Here is a 27235-nt window from a genome sequence, read left to right as displayed (position 1 = left end):
CTCAGAATCGAAGTGTCCACTGTCATATGTCACATAGTAGACATTAGATAGTAGTAATTGTTAAACTCTTGGAGAACATTGTAGAATTTTAAAAGCTAAATGAGAAGTTGATATGTTATCCAGTGACTGTTACTCAAGTTCTGACTATAATGGAGTGAATTTTAAAAATTAACAGTTTAAAAAAATAGAAAAAAGGAAATGTAACAGAAAACTGCAGTATTTTAAAATATTTCTTTATACTGAAGAGATCAGTGTTAGAAGTGAGGCCTAAATTATATGAAGCAGCAAGTCTGTCTGATTCTGGGCATAATTGCCGAAAGCAATTCAGAAGAATCTTCAGATTTTGAATGTGAAGAAAGCTTTGACTTAATGTTTGTTTATGATACTAGGGGAAAATGATGAATAAATGTATGCAATTGTAGGTGAATAAAAAGTATGCTTTTAAATTATCTATTCATTTTGGTAATGCTTTTGTTAAATGGAAGGTGGCACTTACAACTAAAGGTTTCTTAGAATTGGGGGAATATGGTATACTTCTCTGAGTGTTATCAAGTTCAAATGTTACAATTCATATGAAAGAGCTTAGTACGATAATGGGGAAAATAATAGTAACATTGATTATAAAGGCAACAAACTTAATGATTAAGAGTGAAAGTCCTGGAATCAGACTTCTTGGATTTTAATCCTGTTACCAACACTTAACTAGGTGTGTAACTTTGAGTCAGTTACTCAGTTAATGTCTTATTTTCCTCATTTGTTAAATGGGTATAATAGTATGTGCCTCAGGTTAAATGGGCTTAATGTGTAAGTGCCTAGACTAGTACTTGGAGTATAGGAAATGCTTAATGAGATTCAATGTATGTTATTTGTTATGAAGCTGTGAAACACTGTGTATATGATTTTAAAATGTGCTATTTAAATTCATACTTTACAGTTTAACTTGCCATTTTAAAAAGCAACATTTGATTACTGATTGAAAAAATTTTTTGGTCTCATTTGTGCAGAGCTTATATTTTTCTCCTTGCCTAAGCTGTTCTTCATTTGTTTGTATAAATATTGGCATGTTTATTTACCTTGGACTAGTCCATGTCACCTTTCACTAATCAAAGCTGTTATTTCTGGGTTATTAATCATCCCACCCAATTGGGTGGCAGCAGTAAACCCTGAGGGCTTGCCATCTCTCCCACTTTATAAGTTATTACTGTCATTATTGTTTAAATAATTAAGGAGAGGTTTTTTTTTTGCCAAATTCTTTGCTGTTTGGAAATAAGGAATGGAACAAGTAATAAATATGCTGAAAATATATGTTTTCTTAGTTCACTTTAAGAAATTGATTTATTTAGGAAATGGTGTTTGTTTTAAATTACACTTGATTTTTTTGAAAAATTTGTATGGGCATATTTCTTAAAATGTTAGGTCTATAGTATAAAAAGAATTAAAACACCAAAGATTTCTATTGATTTATATTCTTTGGTTATTCTTTTATATTTCTTGACTGGTATTCTGTATGGTTCCCAAAACCAGTCAAGAACTGTAAAACTCTTACTCTACATACTTGCCAGCAAAAAAAAAAATAAAAATAAAAATAAATAAAACTCACTTTGTCAGTTTTATCCATTCTCATATCAGAACCTTTTTGTTTGCATGTGACAGGAAACATCAATTCTAACAGTCTTAAGCAGAAAACATTAGTTTATATAAATGGTAGGTCCATTAGTAGACCTGGCTTCTGGTGTGTCAGGGTCACAGTGATGTCACTACTTAGTTTTTCTTTTTTTGTACCTTGGCTCCATTCTAAGGCAAATTATTCTGTTGTAGAACTAAGATGATTATAAAGCTTCAGGCTTGCATACTTTATAATTACAAGTCCAGTGGACCCCTTTCTAATAGGTCCCACTAAGGTTACATTTCTGCCCTGACATAGTTGCTGTGGAGAATGAGTTTAAAAGTAGGTTTGCCAGAAAGAATTGAGGTTACTGATTGTTATGAGTTGAATTGTGTCCCTTCAAAATTTGCCAGTACTGGAGAATGTGACCTTACTTGGATATAACATTGATGCAGATATAATTAGCTAAGGTTATATGAAGTAGAGTGGGGCACAGATCCAGTATGACTGGCATCCTTATAAAAAGGGAAATTTGAACGCAGACATACAGGGAGAATGGCATGGGAAGATTGGAGGTAGGCTGCCACAAGCCAAAGAACTACCAAGAGTAGGAGAGAGGCCTGGAACAGATCCTTCCCTAATGCCTTCTGGCTTCCAGATTGTGAGACAGTAAGTTTCTGTTCTGAGCCATCTAGTTTATGGTACTTTGTTATGGCCCTTGTGAACTGATACAGTGATCATGAATTTATAATAGTGGTCTACCTTGTTGAGTGACTTTCTCAGCTGCAGCATCAAAGAAAAGTTTTTAGATGGTTTCATTCAGGTTTGGGATTTTGCTATATTGGTGTCATAAGACAAGAGGAGCAAGGGAATTTAGGTTATTGGCAGGAGAATTATTGAAATGATGAATTGTAGAATCTAAACTGAATAAGGTGGAAGAGAAAGTAAAATAGAGAGGGCCTGAGGGATCAAAGTCTATTGGGCCCATGGATAAGAGGTTTTATAGAGGTCAAAGGATTATAATCTGGAAGAAGAGGTTGTGGTTGGAGGACAAGGTGCTTGAAATAGTGATTAAGGAGGTGGAGCACTTTTGGTTGAAGATAGAAGGGCAAGGAAGGATTTTACTATGGGACAAGGAGGGTGACTGGGACATAATATATGTGTTCACTGTTGATCCTGTGTTTTGGAGAGGTTCTTGAAGTTAAAGAGATCAAGGAAGTAAGAAGCCAGGCTGTGGATGGGTTGTGCAAATTGATAATTGAAATTACTAAATTTGATGTAGGGTTGGGGTAGAGAAGATGACAGTGAGCCATCAAAGCCTTAGGTAAATGAGGTAGAGACCAGGAGCTTGAAAGTTAACATGAAAAGGAAGAGGAGAGAGTAATTTAGTTGAAAGTTAAGAGCCTCAGCTGGGCACCGTGGCTCATGCCTGTAATCCCAGCACTTTGGGAGGCCGAGGCTGGTGGATCACCTGAGGTCAGGAGTTCATGACCAGCCTGGCCAACATAGTAAAACCCCGTCTCTACTAAAAAAAATACAAAAATTAGCCAGGCGTGACGCCTGTAATCCCAGCTACTCGGGAGGCTGAGGCAGGAGAATCGCTTGAACCCAGAAGGCGGAGGTTGCAGTGAGCCGAGATCGTGCCATTGCACTCCAGCCTGGGCGACAGAGGGAGACTCTGTCCTCCCATCCACCCCCCAAAAAAAGAAAGTTAAGAGCCTCAAAAGAATAGAGCTTTATTTTTATTTATTTATTTATTTATTTATTTATTTATTTATTTATTTATTTATTTAATTTGAGACTGAGTCTTGCTCTGTCGCCCAGGCTGGAGTGCAGTGGTGCGATCTCGGCTCACTGCAAGCTCCGCCTCCTGAGTTCATGCCATTCTCCTGCCTCAGCCTCCAGAGTAGCTGGGACTACAGGCGCCCACCACCACGCCTGGCTAATTTTTATTTTTTTGGAGGATGGAGTCTCGCTCTGTCATCCAGGCTGGAGTGCAGTGGCGCGATCTTGGCTCACTGCAAGCTCCGCCTCCCGGGTTCACGCCATTCTCCTGCCTCAGCCTCCCGAGTAGCTGGGACTACAGGCGCCCACCACCACGTCTGGCTAATTTTTTGTATTTTTAGTAGAGATGGGGTTTCACCATGTTAGCCAGGATGGTTTCAATCTCCTGACCTCATGATTCGCCCGCCTTGGCCTCCCAAAGTGCTGGGATTACAGGCGTGAGCCACTGTGCCTGGCCTTTTTTTTGTATTTTTAGTAGAGACGGGGTTTCACTGTGTTAGGCAGGATGGTCTCGAACTCCTGATCTTGTGATCCGCCCGCCTTGGCCTCCCAAAGTGCTGGGATTACAGGCGTGAGCCACCGCGCCCGGCTGTTGTTTTTGTTTTTTAAAACAAGAAGTTAAATAGTGTAATGTGGACAAGCTGCTGGTGAGCAAAGAGGAGTTTATTCACATTTCTAAAACCTGAGATAGGCAGGTCGTTAAAACCTGACAGCTGCCATTTGAGGGGCTACAAAGGAGGTGAGAGGATTTTTATAAATTCGTATATTAGTCATTCATGCTTAAAGATCATGCTTCTTCCACTGATCTGTTTTTTTTGTTTGTTTGTTTGTTTTTTTGGCCTACCTAGAATGATGTATATAGGGCTCACTAAGTCTTCTGATGAAAGACCCAAGCTATACTTTGCTTTCATTCTGTCTCTATGTCACCTAGATTTTTGATCAAATTGAGTTGTATTCAATTAAAAACTGGCCCATTACTGGTTTGAGTTGGTGATATGGTCTTTACATCCATCGTTTTTCAGTAGTATTTTCTGTACTATCTCTTTGAAATTCTTTTGTCTATTCTAAAGTCCCTTTCTTCTTTCATTTTTGAAAGAAGTGAATCTCCAGAGCAAATATATTTTTTTATCTGGATTTTGAAAACTTTCTTTAGAATACTGTATTTACAGTATTCCTAGGTCTTTGCCTGCTAAGTCAATTTGTAATGTTTTGTTATGGAACAAACATGAGATGTTAGCGTGTTTGCAGAAGGTAGCATTACAATTTTTACTAGAATTTAAGCCCTTGAAGGCAGGAGCCCTATCTGATTATTTTAACTCCAGACACCTTAACCTATTGTCTTGTACCTAGAAAGCATCCAGTTTATGTCTATTAAATTATTAAATGAGGGCCAGGCACAGCGGCTCATGCCTGTAATCTCAGCACTTTGGGAGGCCGAGGCAGGTGGATCACTTAAATCCAGGAGTTTGAGACCAGCCTAGGCAACATGGTGAAAACCCATCTCTACAAAAAATACAAAAATTAGCTGGGTGTGGTCCCATCTGCTTAGGAGGCTGAGGGAAGAATCACTTGAGCCCCGGAGGTGGAGGCTGCGGTGAGTGGAGATTGTGCCACTGCACTCCAGCCTGGGCAACAGACTGGGCAACACTCTGTCTCAAAAAAAAAAAAAAAAAAAAATTAAATGAGTTGGGAATTACAGAGCTGAGGAATATGTGCACTGTGCATTCTGTAAGGGAACTGCTCAAGTGGCTGCTTGTGTTTCCTTGACTCCCCACCCTCTCCAGTTCTAAAGGTGAGGACTGCCCAGGTGATTTGCCTTTCTCTGCCCCACCACGCCCTCCACCCTAGCTTTAGAGTTGTTCTCCTTTCTCAAATTTCTCTTATTACTAGCTTCTGTAATAAGCAAACAGCTTCCGGTTTCTATTTTCCTTGTCACTTTGGATTGCTGTTAATCACTATTGCTCCTTACTATTTTTCATTCTTCTGTTTACTCTTAGTTTTCATCCTGTTTTCTTTTACATTGTAAAATATACAAGCCTTTTCTAGATATGGATAGCCTATCAAAAGCTTCTAAATGTTCTGTCTTGCAAACTATAAACCTATGTGTATAAAAACATAGACTCTTGGTGTATTCATTTAGTACTTTGGCCTTAGGAGTTGCTATTCTATCTTTAAAGGGTGGTGGTGGTGGTTGAGGTGGGAGTTGAAAGGCTGTGGTGGCTAGTCCCCATTCTGATTTCTCAGCCCTCTTGAAAATGGAGTAATAGAAGGTGGAATTCTAAGTAGTTGAATTTTTATGTGTTAATATGTCAGAAATAATTTTATGGCAAATTACAGAAAATTGTGTGCATTAAGAGACTAAAAAATTTTTTAAAGAGCAAAACTAAAAAGAGTGGTTTATTTGAAGGGATAAAATCTATTCCATTGTCTTCCTTTTACTACCTGGCCCTGATTTGCCATCGCACAGTGTTCTTACTGCCTGATTTGCCACCTTCTCTCTACTTCACATTGGTCTTCAATACTGCCTTTTCATGGGAAGTTGCAAAAAGTAGTACCGAGAGGCTCTATGCACCCTTCATCCAATTTTCCCTAATTGTAACATCTTACATAACTACAGCAATAGCAAAAACAGGAAATTGACATTGGTATAACCCACAGACCTTATTTAAATTTTGCCGGTTTTATAGATACTCATTAGTGTGTTTGCATATATAGTTCTATCCATATGCAGTTTTATTATGTGTGGGTTCATGTAACTGTAAGCGTAATCAAAATAAAGACTTGCTCTGTCACAAAGATCCTTTGTGTTACCCTCTATAATCATACCCACTCCCCTCTCCATTTTATTAATTTATTTACTGACGACTCCCTAGTATCTGACCTTGTGATTAACTGAGAAAAGATTGGCATTATGTTTTAGAGGTTGTCTCTTTATTTTACTTTCACTTCTGTTTTTTTTTTTTTTTTTTTTTGAGATGGAGTCTCGCACTGTTGCCCAGGCGGGAGTGCAATGGCATGATCTCGGCTCACTGCAACCTCTGCCTCCCGGGTTCAAGCGATTCTCCTGCCTCAGCCTCCCGAGTAGCTGGGATTACAGGCACCCGCCACCACGCCCAGCTAATTTTTTGTATTTTTAGTAGAGATGGGGTTTCACCATGATGGTCAGGCTGGTCTTGAACTCCTGACCTCGTGATTTGCCCGCTTTGGCCGCCCAGAGTGCTGGGATTATAGGTGTGAGCCACCATGCCTGGCCTTCCACATTGTACTGTAACCATTTATAATAAGACTAAATCATTTAAAATTTCAGTTTATTTTGTGTGTTAGAGAATCTTGTACTCTCAAAGTCATGTACTCTAATATCTCCTCCCACATAACCCTCCCCTAAAAATGACACCAGAAATTCCATATGAGACAATTCTTGACATTTAATTATTAACCTATAAATTTCCTTAGTAACTGGGATCTTTTTTATTACTACTTGATACACTTTGGTGTTGATTTACTTATGTGTTAACATTTGCTAGATTATGCTGCACTAAGAAACAAGCCAAAATATGAGTAGCTTACAATAAGAAGGGTTTATTTGTTTTTCACGTTATAGGCTTCCTAGGAATCAGCTATGGTTCTGCTCTGTGATTCTTTCTCATTTGAGGATCCGGGCTGGAGGAGCAGTCCCTATTTGTGACATATTGTTCTCTTGGTAGAGAGAAAACAGTAAGACCTGTCAGAAACACACAATAGCTGTTGAAGCTTCTACTTGGAACTGGAACTTTCTCCCAGATTCAGTGGCCAAAACAAGTTATATGGCCAAACCCACCCTTGGAACACCCACGGAGAGACACCACAAGTCACATGGCAACAGGCAGGGATATTAATACTACTCTTAAAGAGAGAGAGGCTATATACTCTGTGTATACAAGAGGGAAACAGACGACTGGGAATTATAATACCACCTAAACACCTTAAGATGCTGTACTAGTCACCTGAGGCCAGGAGTTTGAGACCAGCCTGCAAAACATGGTGAAACCCTGTCTCTACTAAAAATAAAATAGTCTGGCGTGGTGGTGTGCACCTGTAGTCCCAGCTACTTGGGAGGCTAAGGCTGGAGAATTGCTGGAACCCGGGAGGCGGAGATTGCAGTGAGCCGAGATCACGTGATTGCACTCTAACCTGGGTGACGGAGGGAGACGCCATCTCCAAAAAAAAAAAAATACATACATACATACATACATATATATATATATATATATGGTATACTAGGCTATACTTTGTAAAAATTTTTTTCTTAGTAAAGTTTATTATATTTACATTTCTATAGCTATATATGTAATTATAATAACATATTTTTTCCTTAACAAAAATAGCAGTTCCTCCTTTTGTTTTGTTTTTTTTTTTTACATTAGTTAGGATATTGGTTTAAACCAAAATCACAAATTTCAAGTAACAAGTAACAATCCAAGTGGGGTAGGTGGTGTAGAGTGCTGTAGGAGCTTCATGATGGTGTCAGGGACTCAGGCTTTTTTTCTCGTGTTGCTGTATTTTTCCCATGTTTTCCGTCGCAATCCAAGATAGCTTCTCTAGATTCTGTCACTATATCTGTATTCTAGCCAGCTATGAGAAGGGTTAGGAGTCAGAAGGCATTTCCTTTCTCTTTAGATGCACATCCTCGGAGTTGGACACATTTCTTTTATCATTCCATTGATGAATAACTGAAATTGCAAGAGAGGTTGGGAAATGTAGGTTTTAGCTAGGTGTGTGTATGTAAAGCTTAGGGGTACTATTACTAAAGAAAGGAGGAGAGGCTGGGTGTAGTGGCTCATGCCTATAATTCCAGCTACTTGGGAAGATTGTTTAAGCTCAGAGGTTTGAGGCAGCAGTGTGATTGTATCACTGCACTTCAGCCAGGACTGAGTGGGATCCTGTCTCAAAACCAACCAGATCAGGAAACAGGCTTTTCAAGGAGGTAAAATAAGCTACTAAAGATCATACCTAAGAAGTAGTAGAATGGGCTTTGAATACCTTTCTGATACAAAGTCTGAGTTTTTTTTTTTTTTTTTTTTTTTTACAAAACTTTATTGGCTTTCTAGCATCTCTTGTTTACAGGTACTTTACATTTTTCAGACTAGTAAGAAATAGCAATGGACTCTTTCAAAAGAATTCTGACATTTATGAATATTTAACTTTGTGACAGCTGGTAAGAATTTATGATATAGGTAATGAATATATAATTGCTTTTAAATTGTAATAACAGAATTGTAAAAGGTCAGATTTTGATTTTGACAGTTGGAGTTAAAGTTTTCCTTTAGAAATTAATTTGATTGTTAAAAATTCATATGCAGTTTTATATACTGATCACATTTGGGGATTTTTATATTTTTCTCTAGATTGAAAATAGCCTTATTGTTTCATTCTTATTATATAATTAGGATGTGTTTATTCTCAGAGTTTCCAGAGACTGCAGAGTAGTATGAAGAAGAATGTAAAAATCATTTATGATCTTGCTATCCAGAGATAATCATTGTTACCATTTAATAAGCTATGCCTTTCAATTTTTTCCTCTGTTCATTCATTATATGTGATTTTTTTTTCCCTGCCTAAAAAGTGATCATGTTCATAGTCCGACAATAACAACAAAAGCCAATTTTACTGAGACACACCAGAAACACTCTTTGATCATCTTGCTTGATGAGTGACTTGGCACTTTGGATGGCTTTTTCCATTCTCACTTAGCTGTATCACATTAGTGTAGTTATCAGCACAGGGTGTACTTTAGAACACTTTGGTGAGCTAATATCTTCTCCTATGTGTTTAGGTAGTAACCAATGAACCTGTAATGTGAGGATTATTAAGGCACAGGTTGGAGATCAGGATTTCTTACTGTGTATGAGGTTTTTTTTCCCTGTATTCAAAAAATCCAATTAAAATTAACTTTTTATTATTGAGGGAACATATTTAATTTGCTGTCTTTGGCAAAGTATTTATACTGTTGTCATAACTAAGTAGATGACTATATAATTTTTCATTCAAACTGGTACATTTTTGAGAATGAAAGGGGGTACTACAAATATTTAAAATTCTATATATTTTTGGAATATTTACTTTTTTCAACCATTAAAATAGTTTTTATTGCATTAGTAGATCAATAAAATAGCTCCATTTAAAGTCTGTTTTCAAAAACAATTTCTAAAACATTTTGTTGTACATTATAACAAAGTTTTTAACATGGACTTCAGTTGAATATTTAAAAACAAACTATTTTTGGTAATAAATATTTTTATCAGTTTCTCGGTCAAATCTGTCACTAATACTGTGTCACTGATACTTTTCTGAATATGATTTTCCATCTGGTTTTACTAGTTTTAATTTTTTCATAAAATTGCAGTATTTTGCAGAGTTACATTTTATACTTGTGGTTGTTAACTTCTACAGTTGATGCTTCACTATAACCAATAATGTTTTTAGTTGCTAACATACTTTATATGTGCTGCTGTCCCCAGTTAGCTCAGGAAAAATTTTGCTAGATGGAGAATATTCTTAATTCTAATTTTTTTCTTATTGAAAATTATAGGCTGGGCGCAGTGGCTTATGCCTGTAATCCCAGCATTTTCGGAGGCCGAGGCAGATGGATCACCTGAGGTCAGGAGTTCAAGACTAGCCTGGCCAACGTGATGAAGCCCCCGTCTCTACTAAAAATACACACACACACACACAAAAATTAGCCAGGTGTGGTGGCGGGAGGCTGAGGGAGGAGAATCACTTGACCCTGGGAGGCAGAGGTTGCAGTGAGTGGAGATCATGCCACTGTACTCCAGCCTGGGTAACAAGAGCAAAACTCTGTCTCAAAAAAGAAAAAAAAGAAAAGAAAATTATAAATATATCAGTCTCAGTATTTTCACAGGCAGTGTCCTTTTGCCTGTATTAAAGGTAATCTCTGTTTTTACTTTTCATTTTTTATAGAGACAGGATCTCCCTATATTGTCCAATCTAGTCACAAGGTACTGTCTTTGATACAAATAAGTTGTCCCTATTTATGATTATTTTATATGTTCCACCAGATTTAAGTGTTGCAAAATTGTAGGCCTTCTCTAATTTTTTTTTTTTTTTTTTTTTTGAGATGCAGTCTCGCTCTTGTAGCCCAGGCTGGAGTGCAATGGCACAGTCTCAGCTCACTGCAACCTCTGCCTCCTGGCTTAAAGCAATTCTGCTGCCTCAGCCTTCCTAGTAGCTGGGATTACAGGTGCCCGCCACCATGTCCAGCTATTTTTTTTTTTTTGTATTTTTAGTAGAGACGAGGTGTTGCCATATTGGCCAGGCTGGTCTCGAACTCCTGACCTCAGGTGATCCACCCGCCTTGGCCTCCCAAAGTGTTGAGATTACAGGCATGAGCCACTGTGCCTGGCCTGTAATTTTCTTTCACCTACTTAAAAATAGAAAGACTCGACTGCGCATGGTGGCTCACACCTGTAATCCCAGCACTTTGGGAGGCTGAGGTGGGTGGATCACCTGAGGTCAGTAGTTCAAGACCAACCTGGCCAACATGGCGAAACCCCATCTCTACTAAAAATACAAAAATTAGCTGGATGTGGTGGCGGGCACCTGTAATCCCAGCTACTTGGGAGGCTGAGGCATGAGAATCGCTTGAACCTGGGAGGCAGAGGTTGCAGTGGGCCAAGATAGTGCCATTGCACTCCACCCTGGGCGACAAGAGCGAACTCCATCTCAAAAAAAAGACCCTCGATGGAACTTCTAAAATTCATTCCAAAATATAATGATAAAATTTCAAAATGAAATCTCGTGTACTATTTGAACTCTCATTTAATTTGTTCGGTTCTTCCTTGCTTTTGAAGGATATATTTCAGTGTCTTGGCAAACTTTGTTGATAATAATTGGTATTTGCTAAAAGCTTCAAAAGCTGAAGGTTTTCTGGAGCTTTATTCATTAAACTTGTTTTTGTTTGTTTGTTTGTTTTTTTAAGGAGATGATGTCTCACTGTGTTGCCCAGGTTGGTCATGAATTCCTGGGCTCAAGTGATCCTCCCATCCCAGCCTCCCAAATAGCTGGGACTACAGGTGTGCGCCATCATGCCCAGCTCACTAAACTTTACTTTTGATTAAAGGTTTCCAACTGATTTTGAACAGTATGCAACCAATTTCTAGAGGACTTATTTTTAAAAAGACTCACTATTGAGACATTGATTGGATTTATAAAGTAGTTTTTTGAAAGTACTAGCCTCGGAAGTCCGATGACAGGTTGCAAGGAGAATACACATATTGCTCTGTTGCACTATTTTATTGTATTCAGTATCAGTCTTATCCTTAAAAATTTAACAGTGGGAATATGAAAACATTTATAAATGTTGACGTTTGAAGCTGACTCATTAATAGTGATGTCACTAGAGCTCCATGATAAATAGAAACTGCCTCAGTGGTTCTCTGCAAATTGTCTGCCCATCTATTTTCTGGAGAAATGAAAATTTAGAGCTTAGTTTTTATTGGATACAGTGATGTCTTTATAGCTCATTGCTCCTGAAAAGGCTTATGAAATAATAAAATGGTTACCAAACAACAAAATAAATAAACAGTTGTAGACTTGTACAATACAATAAATGACAAAACCATCTAAGAGTTTTCATACTATTGACTTTGCACATACTTCATTTGCACCCAACCTGCAATTTCCCACTGACATAGCCAGCTGGTGGCCTAGTGTGTCTTGTGGTCACTGTACATGCCACTGCACTGCCTGGCATACCAGGTAACCAACAGGAGCACCAGTGTCAAATATTTCTCCTAATATTTTGCAAGACCATACAGAGTTAATTGCCCATGGTTGCTTAAGTCTGAGGATACTTTTCAGTAAGTCTATGCACTCCCCTTGCAAAGAAGTTGTTTTGTTGAATCTGTAAAGAATCAGAACAAGAAAGATGGAATTATCACTAGTTCTCTTCCAGATTTCATCACTTGTTTATGTGGTGAAAGCACTTATAGACTACTAGTTGATAACTTGGCCAGAAACTAGATATACACAGTAGAGATACAAAATCCATTCTGGTTTTAGTGTATTTTGATATAATGATTGATAATAGTTTTTTTAAAATTTAAAATTTAATTTAATTTTTTATTTAAAAAATTTTTTTAAATGGAGACAAGATCTCGCTGTGTTGCCTAGATTGGTCTCAAACTCCTGGTTTCAAGCAGTCCTCCTGCCTCGGCCTCCCAAAGTGCTGAGATTACAGGCGCGAGCGACTACACCTGGCCCAATAATAGTTTCTTTTTAAAAATGGGAAATCGGAGACATATGTTAAGCTGAATGGGATGCTGGGACAATGACGGTAAATCAAGATTTTCCTGGGCATACCAGGGCATATGGGAAGCAACACAGAGCTGGGAGCAGGACACCTAAGTCCTGACTCTGACTTTTTTTTGAGAGACAGGGTCTCACTCTGTTGCCCAGGCTAGAGTGCAGTGGCACAATCACAGGTCACTGTAGCTTTGACCTCCGTGGCTCAACCAATCCTCCTGCCTCAGCCTCCTGAGTAGCTGACACTATAGATGCATGCCACTATGCCCGGCTAATTTTTGCATTTTTGGTGGAGATGGTGTTTCTCTACATTGCCCAGGCTGATCTCAAACTCTTAGATTGAAGCAATCCTCCCCCAATAGCTTCCCAAATCCCCTCCTGGGATTACAGGCATGAACCACCACATCCGTCTGACTCTGCCTTTTTTTTTTTTAGGTGGAGTCTTGCTCTTTTGCTAGGCTGGAGTGCAGTGGCGTGATTTCAGCTCACTGCAACCTCCACCTCCCGGGTTCAAGCAATTCCCCTGCCTCAGCCTTCCACGTAGCTGGGATTATAGGCATGCACCACCCTGTCCAGCTAATTTTTTGTATTTTTGTAGAGACGGGCTTTCACCATGTTGGCCAAGATGGTCTTGATCTCCTGACCTCGTGATCCGCCCACCTTGGCCTCCCAAAGTGCTGGGATTACAGGCACATGCCACCGTGCCTGGCTGACTCTGCCTTTTAAAGGCCTGGAGAGGTAACCTCTCTGAGACTGGATGTATTAGGGTTCTCCAGAAAAACTGAACCAGTATGAGACACACACACACACACACACACACACACACACACACACACACTTGCAGTCTTGAGTTCGAATATATATATCTGTGTGTATGTCATACCTGTGATAAAGTTTAATTTATAAATTAGGCACAGTAAGATTAACAACAAAACTAATAGTGAAATAGTACAATTATAACAATATGCTGTAATAAAATTTATGTGAATGTGGTTTCTCTCTCTCTCAACATATCTTATTGTATTATACTCATCCTTTTTGTGATCTGTCAGCCTGATAACTGAGTCGGCTACTAAGTGACTAATGGGCAGGTACCATATACAGAGTAGATGCCCTGGACAAAGGGATTCACGTCCTGGGTGGGATGGCATGAGATTTCATCATGCTACTTGGAATGGTTTACAATTTAAAAGTTATGAAATGTTTATTTCTGGAATTTTTCATTTAATACTCTGACGGCGAGCAACTGAGGGTAACTAAAACTGTGGAAAGTGAAACTGTGGATAAGGGGAAACTACTGTGTGTGTGTGTACACATTTTATGTATTTTTAAAATTATGCTTTCCTTCCCCCTCACCCACTTAATAAGTCCTGTCAAATCTATGTTACAAACTTTTTTTCAAGCCATACCCTTCTCTTCTGCCATTGTCAATGTTCAGCCCCTCAACCAGACCATTAAAATTACTTCCTAAGGCCGGGTGTGGTGGCTCATGCTTGTAATCCCAGCACTTTGGGAAGCCACAACGGGTGGATCACTTGAGATCAGGAGTTCGAGACCAGCCTAGACAACATGGCGAAACCCCATCTCTACTAAAAATACAAAAATTAGCCAGGCATGGTGGTGCACGCCTGTAATGCTGCTACTTGGGAGGCTGAGGCAGGAGAATCACTTGAACCTGGGAGGCGGAGGTTGCAGTGAGCCTAGATCGTGCCACGCCACTGTACTCCAGCCTGGGCGACTTCATTTTTTTTTACTCTACAATGGCAGATGAAACCCTTCATAAGTTGTCTTCTACAAAATTTTATAATCTTATCTCCCTATCCCTCTTATCGTTCAGAACTTCTTGCTGTTCTTTTTAGACATAACTGAGTTTTCTGTTGATCGCATGCCTTTGTGCATACTGCTATCTCTGTGTAGAATCACCCTCTCCCCATCTTCCCCATACCTCAAGTTCCTGCTCTGATGTCACCCCATGAAGCCTTCCTGGATTCCCATCCTGATCCCAGAACACTCTTACACATTCATATGGAGGCAAACTTGATCCTTCAAACCTTTTTTTTCTTTTTTGAGACAGGGTCTCAGTCTGTTAACCAGACTTGAGTACAGTCACAGAGTCACAGCTCACCGCAGCCACAACTGCCTGGGCTGAGGCAGTTCTCCCACCTCAGCCTCCCAAGTAGCTGGGACTACAGGCATGTGCCACCACACCTGGCCAATTTTTAAATTATTTGTAAAGACGAGGTCTCACTGTGATGCCCAGGCTGGTCTCAAACTCTTGGGTTCAAGCAGTCCTCCTGCCTCAGCCTCCCAAAGTGCTGAGATTACTGGTGTGAGCCACTGCACCCAGTCGATCCTTCAAACATTGAATTTCAGATGAGTCTGTTCATAAGCTGACCAAGGAACTCTTTGAACTGTAGTGTGAATTTAATGGAACTGCCTTTCTGCAAGCAGTTTATATCTGATGACATCACTACCTTTCTGTATGTCAGTTTGTATATTCATTTAATTGTTTTATTGAAGTGGTTTTTGAAATGTATTCATAGGTACTTTGGGTACTTGGGTAGAGGATGAATTCTTGGGGATTTGGGCCTCTCAACTGGCTTTAGAGAAAGCATTTCATTCTCAATTTGTTACATATTGGGTTTCTGGGTAAAATATTAGATGAAGAGGAGTTTTGATGTCAAAAACAAAATTTAAGATTCTTGTTTCATTTCTTGTCTACCTGATTCTTAGTAACCCATGTGACTATCTTTATCTATTCTCTGTCTCACGCTCCCCAAGAAGAAACAAAATCTAACCCCTGAAATCAAGGATATTTTATCTTATTCATCTTTGTTTCTCAAATATCTGTTGAATGAATGCCAAATATGTTAATAGAAGTTAATGAATAGCATCTAATTTTTATTAATGTGTTTATTTCAGTTATCAAGTGGGAATCCTGTATATGAAAAATACTATAGACAGGTAAGATTTTTGTTTCATTGTTTGCCTGGATTGAACATTAAATGTACTGTCAACTCTTGATTGTATGCCTGTAGATTACCAGCTAGCTCGATAAATTTGATGTGTCTTGTTTTCAACATCTTGTTTACAGCCTCCACTTTGAGTACTTAATGCATTTGACAATCCCAGAGAAATGAAGGAAAGATAATTAAGTCCAAGTACTTAGTTGTCTTAAATATCTATGTTGAAAATGTATACATTTGATAGATTTATCCAGATATAAATATTCCAAATTCTTAAGACAAATACAAATAACTTCTATGTTGTTTTTAAGACTTATTAAAGTATAATTTTCACAAAGTGAAAAACATGACTTTTATACAAATACATAATGAGCATGTATCAGATTTTATTCAACTCATTAATTACTGGTTAATTAGTACAGATATACAGCCTCTGGTCAGATATAAAAATGGGAATATGGCCGGGTGTGGTGGCTCACACCTGTAATCCCAGCCCTTTGGGAGGCTGAGGCAGGCGGATTACCTGAGGTCAGGAGTTCAAGACCAGGCTGGCCAACATGGTGAAACCCTGTCTCTACTAAAATACAAAATTAGCTGGGTTTGGTGGTGCATGCCTCTAATCCCACCTACTCGGGAGGCTAAGGCAGGAGAATCACTTGAACCTGGGAGGCGAGGTTACAGTGAGCCAAGATCGTGCCATTGCACTCCAGCTTGTGCAAAAAGAGTGAAACTCCATCTCAAAAACAAACAAACAACAACAAAAAAATGGGAATATGAGTTACAGAGATTTACATACTTCACCAGACAATATTCATTTGTGTTGGTATGGACAGGAGTCACTTGCATCGCTATCAGTTTCTATTAACCTCTACCTCTACGAGTATAAAGTAGTCTAGACAGAAGAAAGTCATCAAGGGTGCATACCATAGATCAGACGATAATTTCTTGAAGGTGTAGACAATCTTATTTGCCCATTTTCAAGTGTCAGATTATTTTTTCTAACAGTCTCACTACCTTATGATTATGATCACAGAAAAGGCTGGTTTCATTATTTTTGGCCTGGCTATTTACATAGTTGCAGCAAGTATTAATTAAACATTATAGGCCTCTTTGGTTTTGACTTGCAAATCAGGAGCTATAAACTATATAGCAACTTCTAAGGTCAGAGAATAATTTCTGCCTGAAAAATATCAAGAATCTCAGACTGTACTTTTTAATTCCCCTGTTACATTTGTTCTTCTATCTTAAGGCTGTGCTCCAAACCTTAGAAATTCTCTCCACCATATTTCACCTTCACTACATATAAATATGAGTGAATTTATCTCATCTTGAGGTTTCCCAGATTTGCTAAGGTTCCTAGCCTGCTGGTAAGTGACCTTACTTTACTACCCGTGAGGCTAGGATCTTGTAAACCAGGTAGCAGCCCAGTTTTCTTGGGAGATCTTTGTGATGTTCGTGCCACATAAAGTCAGTGCTTGTTCTTTAATCTTTGTTTTGTTTGAATAAAAGAAGTCATTCTCAAATAATGGCCTTGTTTTACACAATTGGCTTATCCAGTTACATCCTAAGAAGAAAAACAAATTGCTATTGAACCCATGTAATAACTATATTGCTATAAAGAGTAAAAACATTCCATACAAGTATTTGTTTTTGAATTCTGAGGAGTCAGTGAGAATCAGATACTATTGATGGGGAGAAACCAGAGCAGAAAAGCTGAAAATTCTAAAAATCAGAGCACCTCTTCTCCTCCAAAGGAACAGAGCTCCTCGCCAGCAATGGAACAAAGCTGGATGGAGAATGACTTTGACAAGCTGACAGAACTAGGCTTCAGACGATCAGTAATAACAAACTTCTCTGAGCTAAAGGAGGATGTTCGAACCCATTGCAAAGAAGCTAAAATCCTTGAAAAAAGATTAGACGAATGGCTAATTAGAATAAACAGCGTAGAGAAGACCTTACATGACCTGATGGAGCTGAAAACCATGGCACGAGAACTACGTGACGCAAGCACAAGCTTCAGTAGCCAATTCGATCAAGTGGAAGAAAAGGTATCAGTGGTTGAAGCTCGAATGAAATGAAGCGAGAAGAGAAGTTTAGAGAAAAAAGAGTAAAAGGAAACGAACAAAGCCTCCAAGAAATATGGGACTATGTAAAAAGACCAAATCTACGTCTGATTGGTGTACCTGAAAGTGATGGGGAGAACGGAACCAAGTTGGAAAACACTCTTCAGGATATTATCCAGGAGAACTTACCCAACCTAGCAAGGCAGGCCAACATTCAAATTCAGGAAATATAGAGAATGCCACAAAGATACTCCTCGAGAAGAGCAACTCCAAGACCACATAATTGTCAGATTCACCAAAGTTGAAATGAAGGAAAAAATGTTAAGAGCAGCCAGAGAGAAAGGTCGCGTTACCCACAAAGGGAAGCCCATCAGACTAACAGCTGATCTCTTGGCAGAAACTCTACCAGCCAGAAGAGAGTGGGGGCCAATGTTCAACATTCTTAAAGAAAAGAATTTTCAACCCAGAATTTCATATCCAGCCAAACTAAGCTTCATAAGTGAAGGAGAAATAAAATACTTTACAGACAAGCAAATGCTGAGAGATTTTGTCACCACCAGGCCTGCCTTACAAGAGCTCCTGAAGGAAGCACTAAACATGGAAAGGAACAACCGGTACCAGCCACTGCAAAAACATGCCAAATTGTAAAGACCATCAAGGTTAGGAAGAAACTGCATCAACTAACAAGCGAAACAACCAGCTAACATCATAATGACAGGATCAAATTCACACATAACAATATTAACCTTAAATGTAAATGGGCTAAATGCTCCAATTAAAAGACACAGACTGGCAAACTGGATAAAGAGGCAAGACCCATCAGTGTGCTGTATTCAGGAGACCCATCTCATGTGCAGAGACACACATAGGCTCAAAATAAAGGGATGGATGAAGATCTACCAAGCAAATGGAAAACAAAAAAAAAGCAGGGGTTGCAATCCTAGTGTCTGATAAAACAGACTTTAAACCAACAAAGATCAAAAGAGACAAAGAAGGCCATTACATAATGGTAAAGGGATCAATTCAACAAGGAGAGCTAACTATCCTAAATATATATACACCCAATACAGGAGCACCCAGATTCATAAAGCAAGTCCTTAGAGACCTACAAAGAGACTTAGACTCCCACACAGTAATAATGGGAGACTTTAACACCACACTGTCAACATTAGTCAGATCAGTGAGACAGACAGTTAACAAGGATATCCAGGAATTGAACTCAGCTCTGCACCAACCGGACCTAATAGACCTCTACAGAACTCTCCACCCCAAATCAACAGAATATACATTATTTTCAGCACCACACCACACCTATTCCAAAATTGACCACATAGTTGGAAGTAAAGCACTCCTCAGCAAATGTAAAAGAACAGAAATTATAACAAACTGTCTCTCAGACCACAGTGCAATCAAACTAGAATTCAGGATTAAGAAACTCACTCAAAACCACTCAACTACATGGCAACTGAACAACCTGCTCCTGAATGACTACTGGGTACATAATGAAATGAAGGCAGAAATAAAGATGTTCTTTGAAACCAACGAGAACAAAGACACAACATACCAGAACCTCTGGGACACATTCAAAGCAGTGTGTAGAGGAAAGTTTATAGCACTAAATGCCCACAAGAGAAAGCAGGAAAGATCTAAAATTGACAACCTAACATCACAATTAAAAGAACTAGAGAAGCAAGAGCCAGCACATTCAAAAGCTAGCAGAAGGCAAGAAATAACTAAGATGAGAGCAGAACTGAAGGAAATAGAGACACAAAAAACCCTTCAAAAAATCAGGGAATCCAGAAGCTGGTTTTTTGAAAAGATCAACAAAATTGATAGACCACTAGCAAAACTAATAAAGAAGCAGAGAGAGAAGAATCAAATAGACACAATAAAAAATGATAAAGGGGATACCACCACCGATCCCACAGAAATACAAACTACCATCAGAGACTACTATAAACACCTCTATGCAAATAAACTAGAAAATCTAGAAGAAATGGATAAATTCCTGGACACTACACCCTCCCAAGACTAAACCAGGAAGAAGTTGTATCTCTGAATAGACCAATAACAGGCTCTGAAATTGAGGCGATAATTAATAGCTTACCAACCAAAAAAAGTCCAGGACCAGATGGATTCACAACCGAATTCTACCAGAGGTACAAAGAGGAGCTGGTACCATTCTTTCTGAAACTATTCCAATCAATAGAAAAAGAGGGAATCCTCCCTAACTCATTTTATGAGGCCAGCATCATCCTGATACCAAAACCTGGCAGAGACACAACAAAAAAAGAGAATTTTAGACCAATATCCCTGATGAACATCCATGCAAAAATCCTCAATAAAATACTGGCAAACCGAATCCAGCAGCACATCATAAAGCTTATCCACCATGATCAAATGGGTTTCATCCCTGGGATGCAAGGCTGGTTCAACATATGCAATCAATAAACATAATCCAGCATATAAATGGAACCAATGAGAAATAACTAAGATCAGAGCAGAACTGAAGAAAATAGAGACACAAAAAACCCTTCAAAAAATCAATGAATCCAGGAGCTGGTTTTTTGAAAAGATCAACAAAATTGATAGACCGCTAGCAAGACTAATAAAGAAGAAAAGAGAGAAGGATCAAATAGACGCAATAAAAAATGATAAAGGGAATATCACCACTGATCCCACAGAAATACAAAATACCATCAGAGACTACTATAAACACCTCTATGCAAATAAACTAGAAAATCTAGAAGAAATGGGTAAATTCCTCAACACATACACGCTCCCAAGAGGGTGAAGGACCTCTTCAAGGAGAAGTATAAGCCACTGCTCAGCGAAATAAAAGAGGACACAAACAAATGGAAGAACATTCCATACTCATGGATAGGAAGAATCAATATCATGAAAATGGCCATACTGCCCAAGGTAATTTAGATTCAGTGCCATCCCCATCAAGCTACCAATGACTTTCTTCACAGAATTGGAAAAAAACTACTTTAAAGTTCATATGGAACCAAAAATGGTTCCACATTGGCTCAAAAATGAGCCCACATTGCCAAGACAATCCTAAGCAAAAAGAACAAAGCTGGAGGCATTACACTACCTGACTTCAAACTATGCTACAAGGCTGCAGTAACCAAAACAGCATGGGACTAGTACCAAAACAGAGATATAGACCAATGGAACAGAGCAGAGCCCTCAGAAATAATACCACACATCTACAGTCATCTGATCTTTGACAAACCTGACAAAAACAAGAAATGGGGAAAGGATTCCCTATTTAATAAATGGTGCTGGGAAAACTGGCTAGCCATATGTAGAAAGCTGAAACTGGATCCGTTCCTTACACCTTCTACAAAAATTATTTCAAGATGGATTAAAGACTTAAATGTTAGACCTAAAACCCATAAAAACCCTAGAAGAAAACCTAGGCAATACCATTCAGGCCATAGGCATGGGCAAGAACTTCATGACTAAAACACCAACAGCAATGGCAACAAAAGTCAAAATTGATAAATGGTATCTAATTAAACTAGAGAGCTTCCACACAGCAAAAGAAACTACAATCAGAGTGAACAGGCAACCTACAGGATGGGAGAAAATTTTTACAATCTACCCATCTGACAAAGGGCTAATATCCAGAATCTACAAAGAACTTAGACAAATTTACCAGAAGAAATCAAACAACCCCATCAAAAAGTAGGCGAAGGATATGAACAGACACTTCTCAAAAGAAGATATTTATGCAGCCAACAGGCACGTGAAAAAATGCTTGTCATCACTGGTCATCAGAGAAATGCAAATAAAACCCACAGTGAGATACCATCTCACACCAGTTAGAATGGCGATCATTAAAAAGTCAGGAAACAGATGTTAGAGAGGATGTGGAGAAATAGGAACACTTTTACACTGTTGATGGGAGTGTAAACTAATTCAACCATTGTGGAAGACAGTGTGGCGATTCCTCAAGGATCTAGAACTAGAAATACCATTTGACCCAGCCGTCCCATTACTGAGTATATACCCAAAGGATTATAAATCATGCTGCTATAAAGACACATGCACACATATGTTTATTGCGGCACTATTCACAGTAGCAAAGACTTGGAACCAACCCAAATGTCCATCAATGATAGACTGGATTAAGAAAATGTGGCACTTATACAACATGGAATACTATGCAGCCATAAAGAAGGATGAGTTCATGTCCTTTGTAGGGATGTGGATGAAGCTGGAAACCATCATTCTGAGCAAACTATCGCAAGGACAAAAAACCAAACACCGCATGTTCTCACTCATAGGTGGGAATTGAACAATGAAAACACTTGGACACAGGGTGGGGAACATCACACACCGTGGCCTTTTGTGGGTTGGGGGGAGGGGGGAGGGATAGCATTAGGAGATATACCTAATGTAAATGACGAGTTAATGGGTGCAGCACACCAGCATGGCACATGTATACATATGTAACAAACCTGCATGTTGTGCACATGTACCCTAGAACTTAAAGTATAATAATAATAATAATAAAAAAAGAAAACTATTTCATTTGGTTTACAAAAGCAGAGGCTACTAAGTTGAGGGTCTCAGAAAGGGCTTATGCACATAGCTATTAGAAAATAGAACATTAAAATAATACCAACAGTATTCCAAGTAAATAACTATAATTAAATTTTCCTCAACAGTTCATTCAGTCCTGTGTAATTCTTGTTCAGCTGAATCTCGGATTAGAAGTCTGCTTTTATGAAGTACATCTTCTTTCAGACTGAAAAGAGTCCTGGAAATCCTGACTTCATCTACCAATATGGTCTGAAAGTAGTGTGATGTCAGCTGAGTAGTCTTTATCCAAAAATCCACTTTTTGAAATGTTAATAATTCAGACTATGTATGTCTTATAGATACAGACTATATCAAAAGTATAGTCATTTTCATGAGGCTCTAAGACTCTTTGTTGAAGATATATCAGCTTCTGGCCTATAGCTTCTGGCTTTGCCTATGGCAGAGCCTTTAGGCAAGCAGCAGAATACCTCAGAAACTGCCTGTAGATGACAAAGACTAAATGTTTATATTATTAGGGTAACCAAAAGAATGGAAGATAGTAAAATTCTTAATTGGGATACAGTACATAATGATTTCATAAGAGTTTGATCAATGTTTCCCCTGAATGCTTCTATATTTAGTAGGCTGTGTTGGGTATGGATATTTGTTTTGTATGCTGATCAGGAAGTAGGCAAAGAAAAGGAGTTCTGAAGAATTCTACAGGCAGGTTTCCCAATCCTTATACTTCCTCTTATTCCAAATTTGAAGGATTAGGCCATGTTTTTCTTTTTTGCTGAGTGCATGATTTTTCCCATGTTGTACCACTTGAAAGAAAGGTTTTCCCTTTTGCTTCTTTGCTAGGATTGGACTGTCTAGAATGCTTTGTACAGTATATGTTTACAGTAAACTTAATCTTTTAACTAAACTGGAAAAACAGATATCTCACAAATATACTATTATCCTGTTACCTTTCCCATGACTTTTTAAAATGTACTTTTCATTTTTACAAATGGAACTTTAGGAAATCTTTACAAAAATGAGTCTTTTTTTTCCTGTTTTTGTTGTTGTTGTTGTTTGTTTGTTTGTTTGTTTCTGTTCTTGTGACCTCATTCTGTCTTAAAGGAAAGTCCCTGGTCAGTTAAAATGGTATGTTCCCTAATATGTTTTAGGAACTTAACAGCTTTAAAAAGGTTTCTTCAAGTTTATTTTGGAATCACTGCTGGTTTTAGAGCTGCTATTGCTTTGATTTGTTTTAAAGTGCTGCAGTTCCTAAGAGTAGGTATAAAAGTGAAAGTTGATGATTGAAAGATGTTTGAAGAGGCACATAACATGTGCAACTATTCCCATTTGTCAGAAGACCTCTGTAGGAAATGCTGCTCCTTTCTTCCTAGTGCCATTTAATTGGAATTTAAATGACAGCTATAGAAGATATGTGTTGATGTTACAACCCCACGAATTTGCTTTGACAATCCTCTGAGCTTCACTTTTCTCATTTGTATGGTAGGGCATGATAAAACAAAAACCACTTTGTAAATTGCCAGTGCTGTCTAGATAGTACTACTCATATGTCTGTCCACATATTCTTTGGCCCATGGTAGTCAAAGGATTCTCATTCCTTTCTTGCAAAAGCCAGGTCCCAAATCACAGGGATGGAAGGCAGGTAAATGGTGATAATTTTGCCTTTTGTATTTTGTTGTCAACTTACGGATTTGTATCTTTTCAGGTTGATACAGGCAATACTGGAAGGGTGTTGGCTTCTGATGCTGCTGCTTTCCTGAAAAAATCAGGGCTTCCAGACTTGATACTTGGAAAGGTAGTATTCGTTCATTATAACTAGATTATAAGTTTGTAAGGAATGTGTACTATAGATGAACTGGATGCAAATTTAGAAAGATGCCATCAAGAAATTTAGAAGTTAGAACCGAGTCATAGAAGCCATTTTAATAGTAGGATGAAGGGAATTTGTAGCGTAGTGATTTACCCTCTTGAAAAGTAAGGTGTTTTTCAGATTTTTAGAAACAAACTACTTTTTAATAGGATAAAATGAGGAAGTAATAAGTACATTTGGTGGGGAGAAACAGTGAAGACTGGGAATCTTGCCACACACTCAAAGACTTGGCTCTATCCCTACTTCCTCTGTTATAACTGTCTCTGTTTAATGTGTGGTAAATAGACTGGGGGATGAGAGGCTTTTTAAAAAGAGCACAAAGAGGTGGAAAGCCCCTCCCCTGTCTACTCCTTATATGTGATATTGATATATATTCAGAATCCTGAAAAATAATCACAATAATTTAATTATTCACAAATATCAATCATCTCAACTTGCACATAGAAAAGAATATCTTAAGGATCCAAAATCAAGAATAGTATGTACATTCTAGTAGAAAGAGCATTGGTCTCAGAGTTAGAACTTGGATTAATGAAAAAGGCATGTGACTGGAAGTTAGAACTTAGGCTTCACTTCTTTCCCTGGTGCCTTGAATGTTCTTGAGCTAAGTCACTTACCCTCATTGGGCCTTAGTATCTTTGTGAAGGGTTGCACTAAATCAGGGGTGCCCAATCTTTTGGCTTCCGTGGGCCACATTGAAAGAAGAAGAATTGTCTTGGGCCACACATAAAATACATTAACACTAATGATAGCTGATGATCAAAAAAAAAAAAAATCATAAAAGAACCCTCATAATTTCTTAAAGAAAGTTTATGGATTTGTGTTGGGCCACGTGCAAAGCTGTCCTGGGCTGCATGTGGCCTGTGGGCTGCAAGTTGGACAAGTTTGCACTAAATGATCTTTAAGGGTTCTTTCCACTCTTAATTCTATGATTCTTAGATCTGATTACCAGAGAGCCTGAGGTTGTAAATAGCAGAGATTTAATTTATCATTCAGATGACTTTTGTTTAAAATATACATTGATATTTTTTCCCCCTAAATTTCAGATTTGGGATTTAGCCGACACAGATGGCAAAGGTATCCTGAACAAACAAGTAAGTTTCAGATATTCATATGATTTTTTTTTTGAGTGATTCAAAATAAAAAATAGCCAGCAGGGTTTTCTTGTATTTTGAAGCCAAGAATTGGTTTTTACCAACATTAGAGTTTTGCCTAGGGCAAGTGTGTAACAAAGTATTTCCAATCACTAGATGTTAATATAAGTCTTAACAGTTAGTGTGAGTTTGGTGACATTGTTCTCCTGGAGTTTATTTTTCTGTCTTTCAGAGAGACTTTGCTCTTTAATTAATTTTCCTAGTTACATAGGGTTATAAGTAAAAGTGAATGTTATTAAGTAAGTGTTAAGATGGTATTGTCTAGTAGATTTGAAGATTTGAAAGGAAACTCTTGGTTAATCACATGTGAGATGTGAGTATTCTGGTCTAGATCTTACTCCTGATATATAAACCAAAAAATGATTTATAAACCAGAAGTAAATTCTTGACCAGAATACATAAAAGTGGTTATGGCCAAGGGTGTTGAACACCATCAGTGTACTCTGAAGTTCTGATTGTTGGGGATGGATTTCAGAGTTGTATAAGGATTGAATTCCAAGTTTGCTGAGTGCCACTACTCAAAGTTAGGCTTCCTCCCCACCCCCGGCATAGCTGAAGCAGGATCAAAGCCAGATATTGGAGAAATTTGATGAGAGGGTCAGAATATCCAGTCTTTTAATTAAGATTTCGGGGCTAGATTGTAGTCCCTGTTCATGTCTCTGGGTAGAAGGGCTACTTTGGTGTATTGGAGGTATAGGAAAACAAAATTCATAGGGGCCCACCTAGGTGCCATGTAGTCAGTCAGCAAATATTTGTTGAGTACCTATGATGAGCCAGGCTTTAGAAATACAGAGGTTAACATGATAGATGTGGTCACTGTCTTAAGGTTTTACAGTATAATAAATTTTTTACTTATAATTGTTTGATTTTGGATATTGAGTTTGAGTTGCCTTAGTACTTCCAGGTGGCTGGATTTATGAGTCTGCAGTTAAACTTTGAAGTTCCTTTGGAAGCATAGATTTTTTTTTTTTTTTTTTTTTTTTGAGACAGAGCCCTGATCTGTTACCCAGGCTGGAGTACAGTGGCGTGATCTTGGCTCACTGCAACCTCTGCCTCCGGGATTCAAGCAATTCTCCCATCTCAGCCTCTGGAGTAGCTGGGATTACAGGCATATGCCTCCGCACCTGGCTAGTTTTTTTGTATTTTTAGTAGAGATGGGGTTTCACTATATTGGCCAGGCTGGTCTTGAACTCCTGACCTCGAGTGATCCACCCACCTCGGCCTCCCAAAGTGCTGGGATTACAGGCGTGAGCCACCGTGCCTGGCCCAGATTTTTAAGTTAGCATATGAATGAAAGAAAAGAAACCAATACTTAATGAATTTCCATGTGACAAAAATGACAGTAGGCACTTTCCTCCTGCAGCATGGTTTTTATTTTGTTGCTCATAATACATTGCAAGGTAGGTATTAGCCCCCCTATTATGGAAGGGTTTTAACTTGCCCTTGGCCTCACAACTATAAGTAGCAGAAATAGAATTTAATGCAGAATTATTTCACTTCATAGCCCATCCATACTGTGGTAATAGACTTGATTACCTAAGAGTAATTGAATCTCAAATAGAGTGAGAAAAGAAAGAGGGTCATGTTAGAATACTTAGAATACTAGCAGTTAGGGAAGACATTGACTCCAACAGAAGAGACCTAAAAGGTCAGAAGAGAACTAGGAGGGTTTTGTGAAGCTGTTTGGTGGAGGAGAGCTTCCAGGAAGATACTTTCCCAGGCTGCAAAAAGAATAAGCAGTATGAGGCTTTTTTTTTTTTAAGGCTATTCTATTTGGTAGCTAGGAGATTATCTGTGACATAGGCGGTAGTTTTTCTAGCTAATCATGGGAGTTGAAGTCACATTGCACAGAAGGTTGTGGAATGAATGAGAAGAAAATGGGATATCTTGAAATAGCATTTTTTCAAGAAATGAGTGAAGGCAAGGGATTGTATAAA

General features: G+C 38.4%; 1 protein-coding gene across 6 annotated transcripts in view; it reads left to right on the top strand.

The window, feature by feature from the left end:
* The window catches only part of EPS15 (epidermal growth factor receptor pathway substrate 15), a 165004-nt gene that overhangs the window by 22339 nt on the left and 115430 nt on the right, over window positions 1–27235 (top strand). For all 6 annotated transcript variants that reach the window (XM_017000618.3, NM_001410796.1, XM_017000617.3 and 3 more), the window contains exons 2-4: window positions 15614–15655; window positions 23980–24069; window positions 25191–25238. In XM_017000618.3, coding sequence (XP_016856107.1) covers window positions 15614–15655; window positions 23980–24069; window positions 25191–25238 — 180 coding nt within the window. The remainder of the gene's footprint in view (window positions 1–15613; window positions 15656–23979; window positions 24070–25190; window positions 25239–27235) is intronic.

Source organism: Homo sapiens, chromosome 1 (assembly GCF_000001405.40).
Source record: "Homo sapiens chromosome 1, GRCh38.p14 Primary Assembly".
Taxonomy (NCBI): domain Eukaryota; kingdom Metazoa; phylum Chordata; class Mammalia; order Primates; family Hominidae; genus Homo; species Homo sapiens.
The sequence above is the reverse complement of the archived record's forward strand: the minus strand, read 5'-3'. Positions and strand labels throughout refer to the sequence as shown.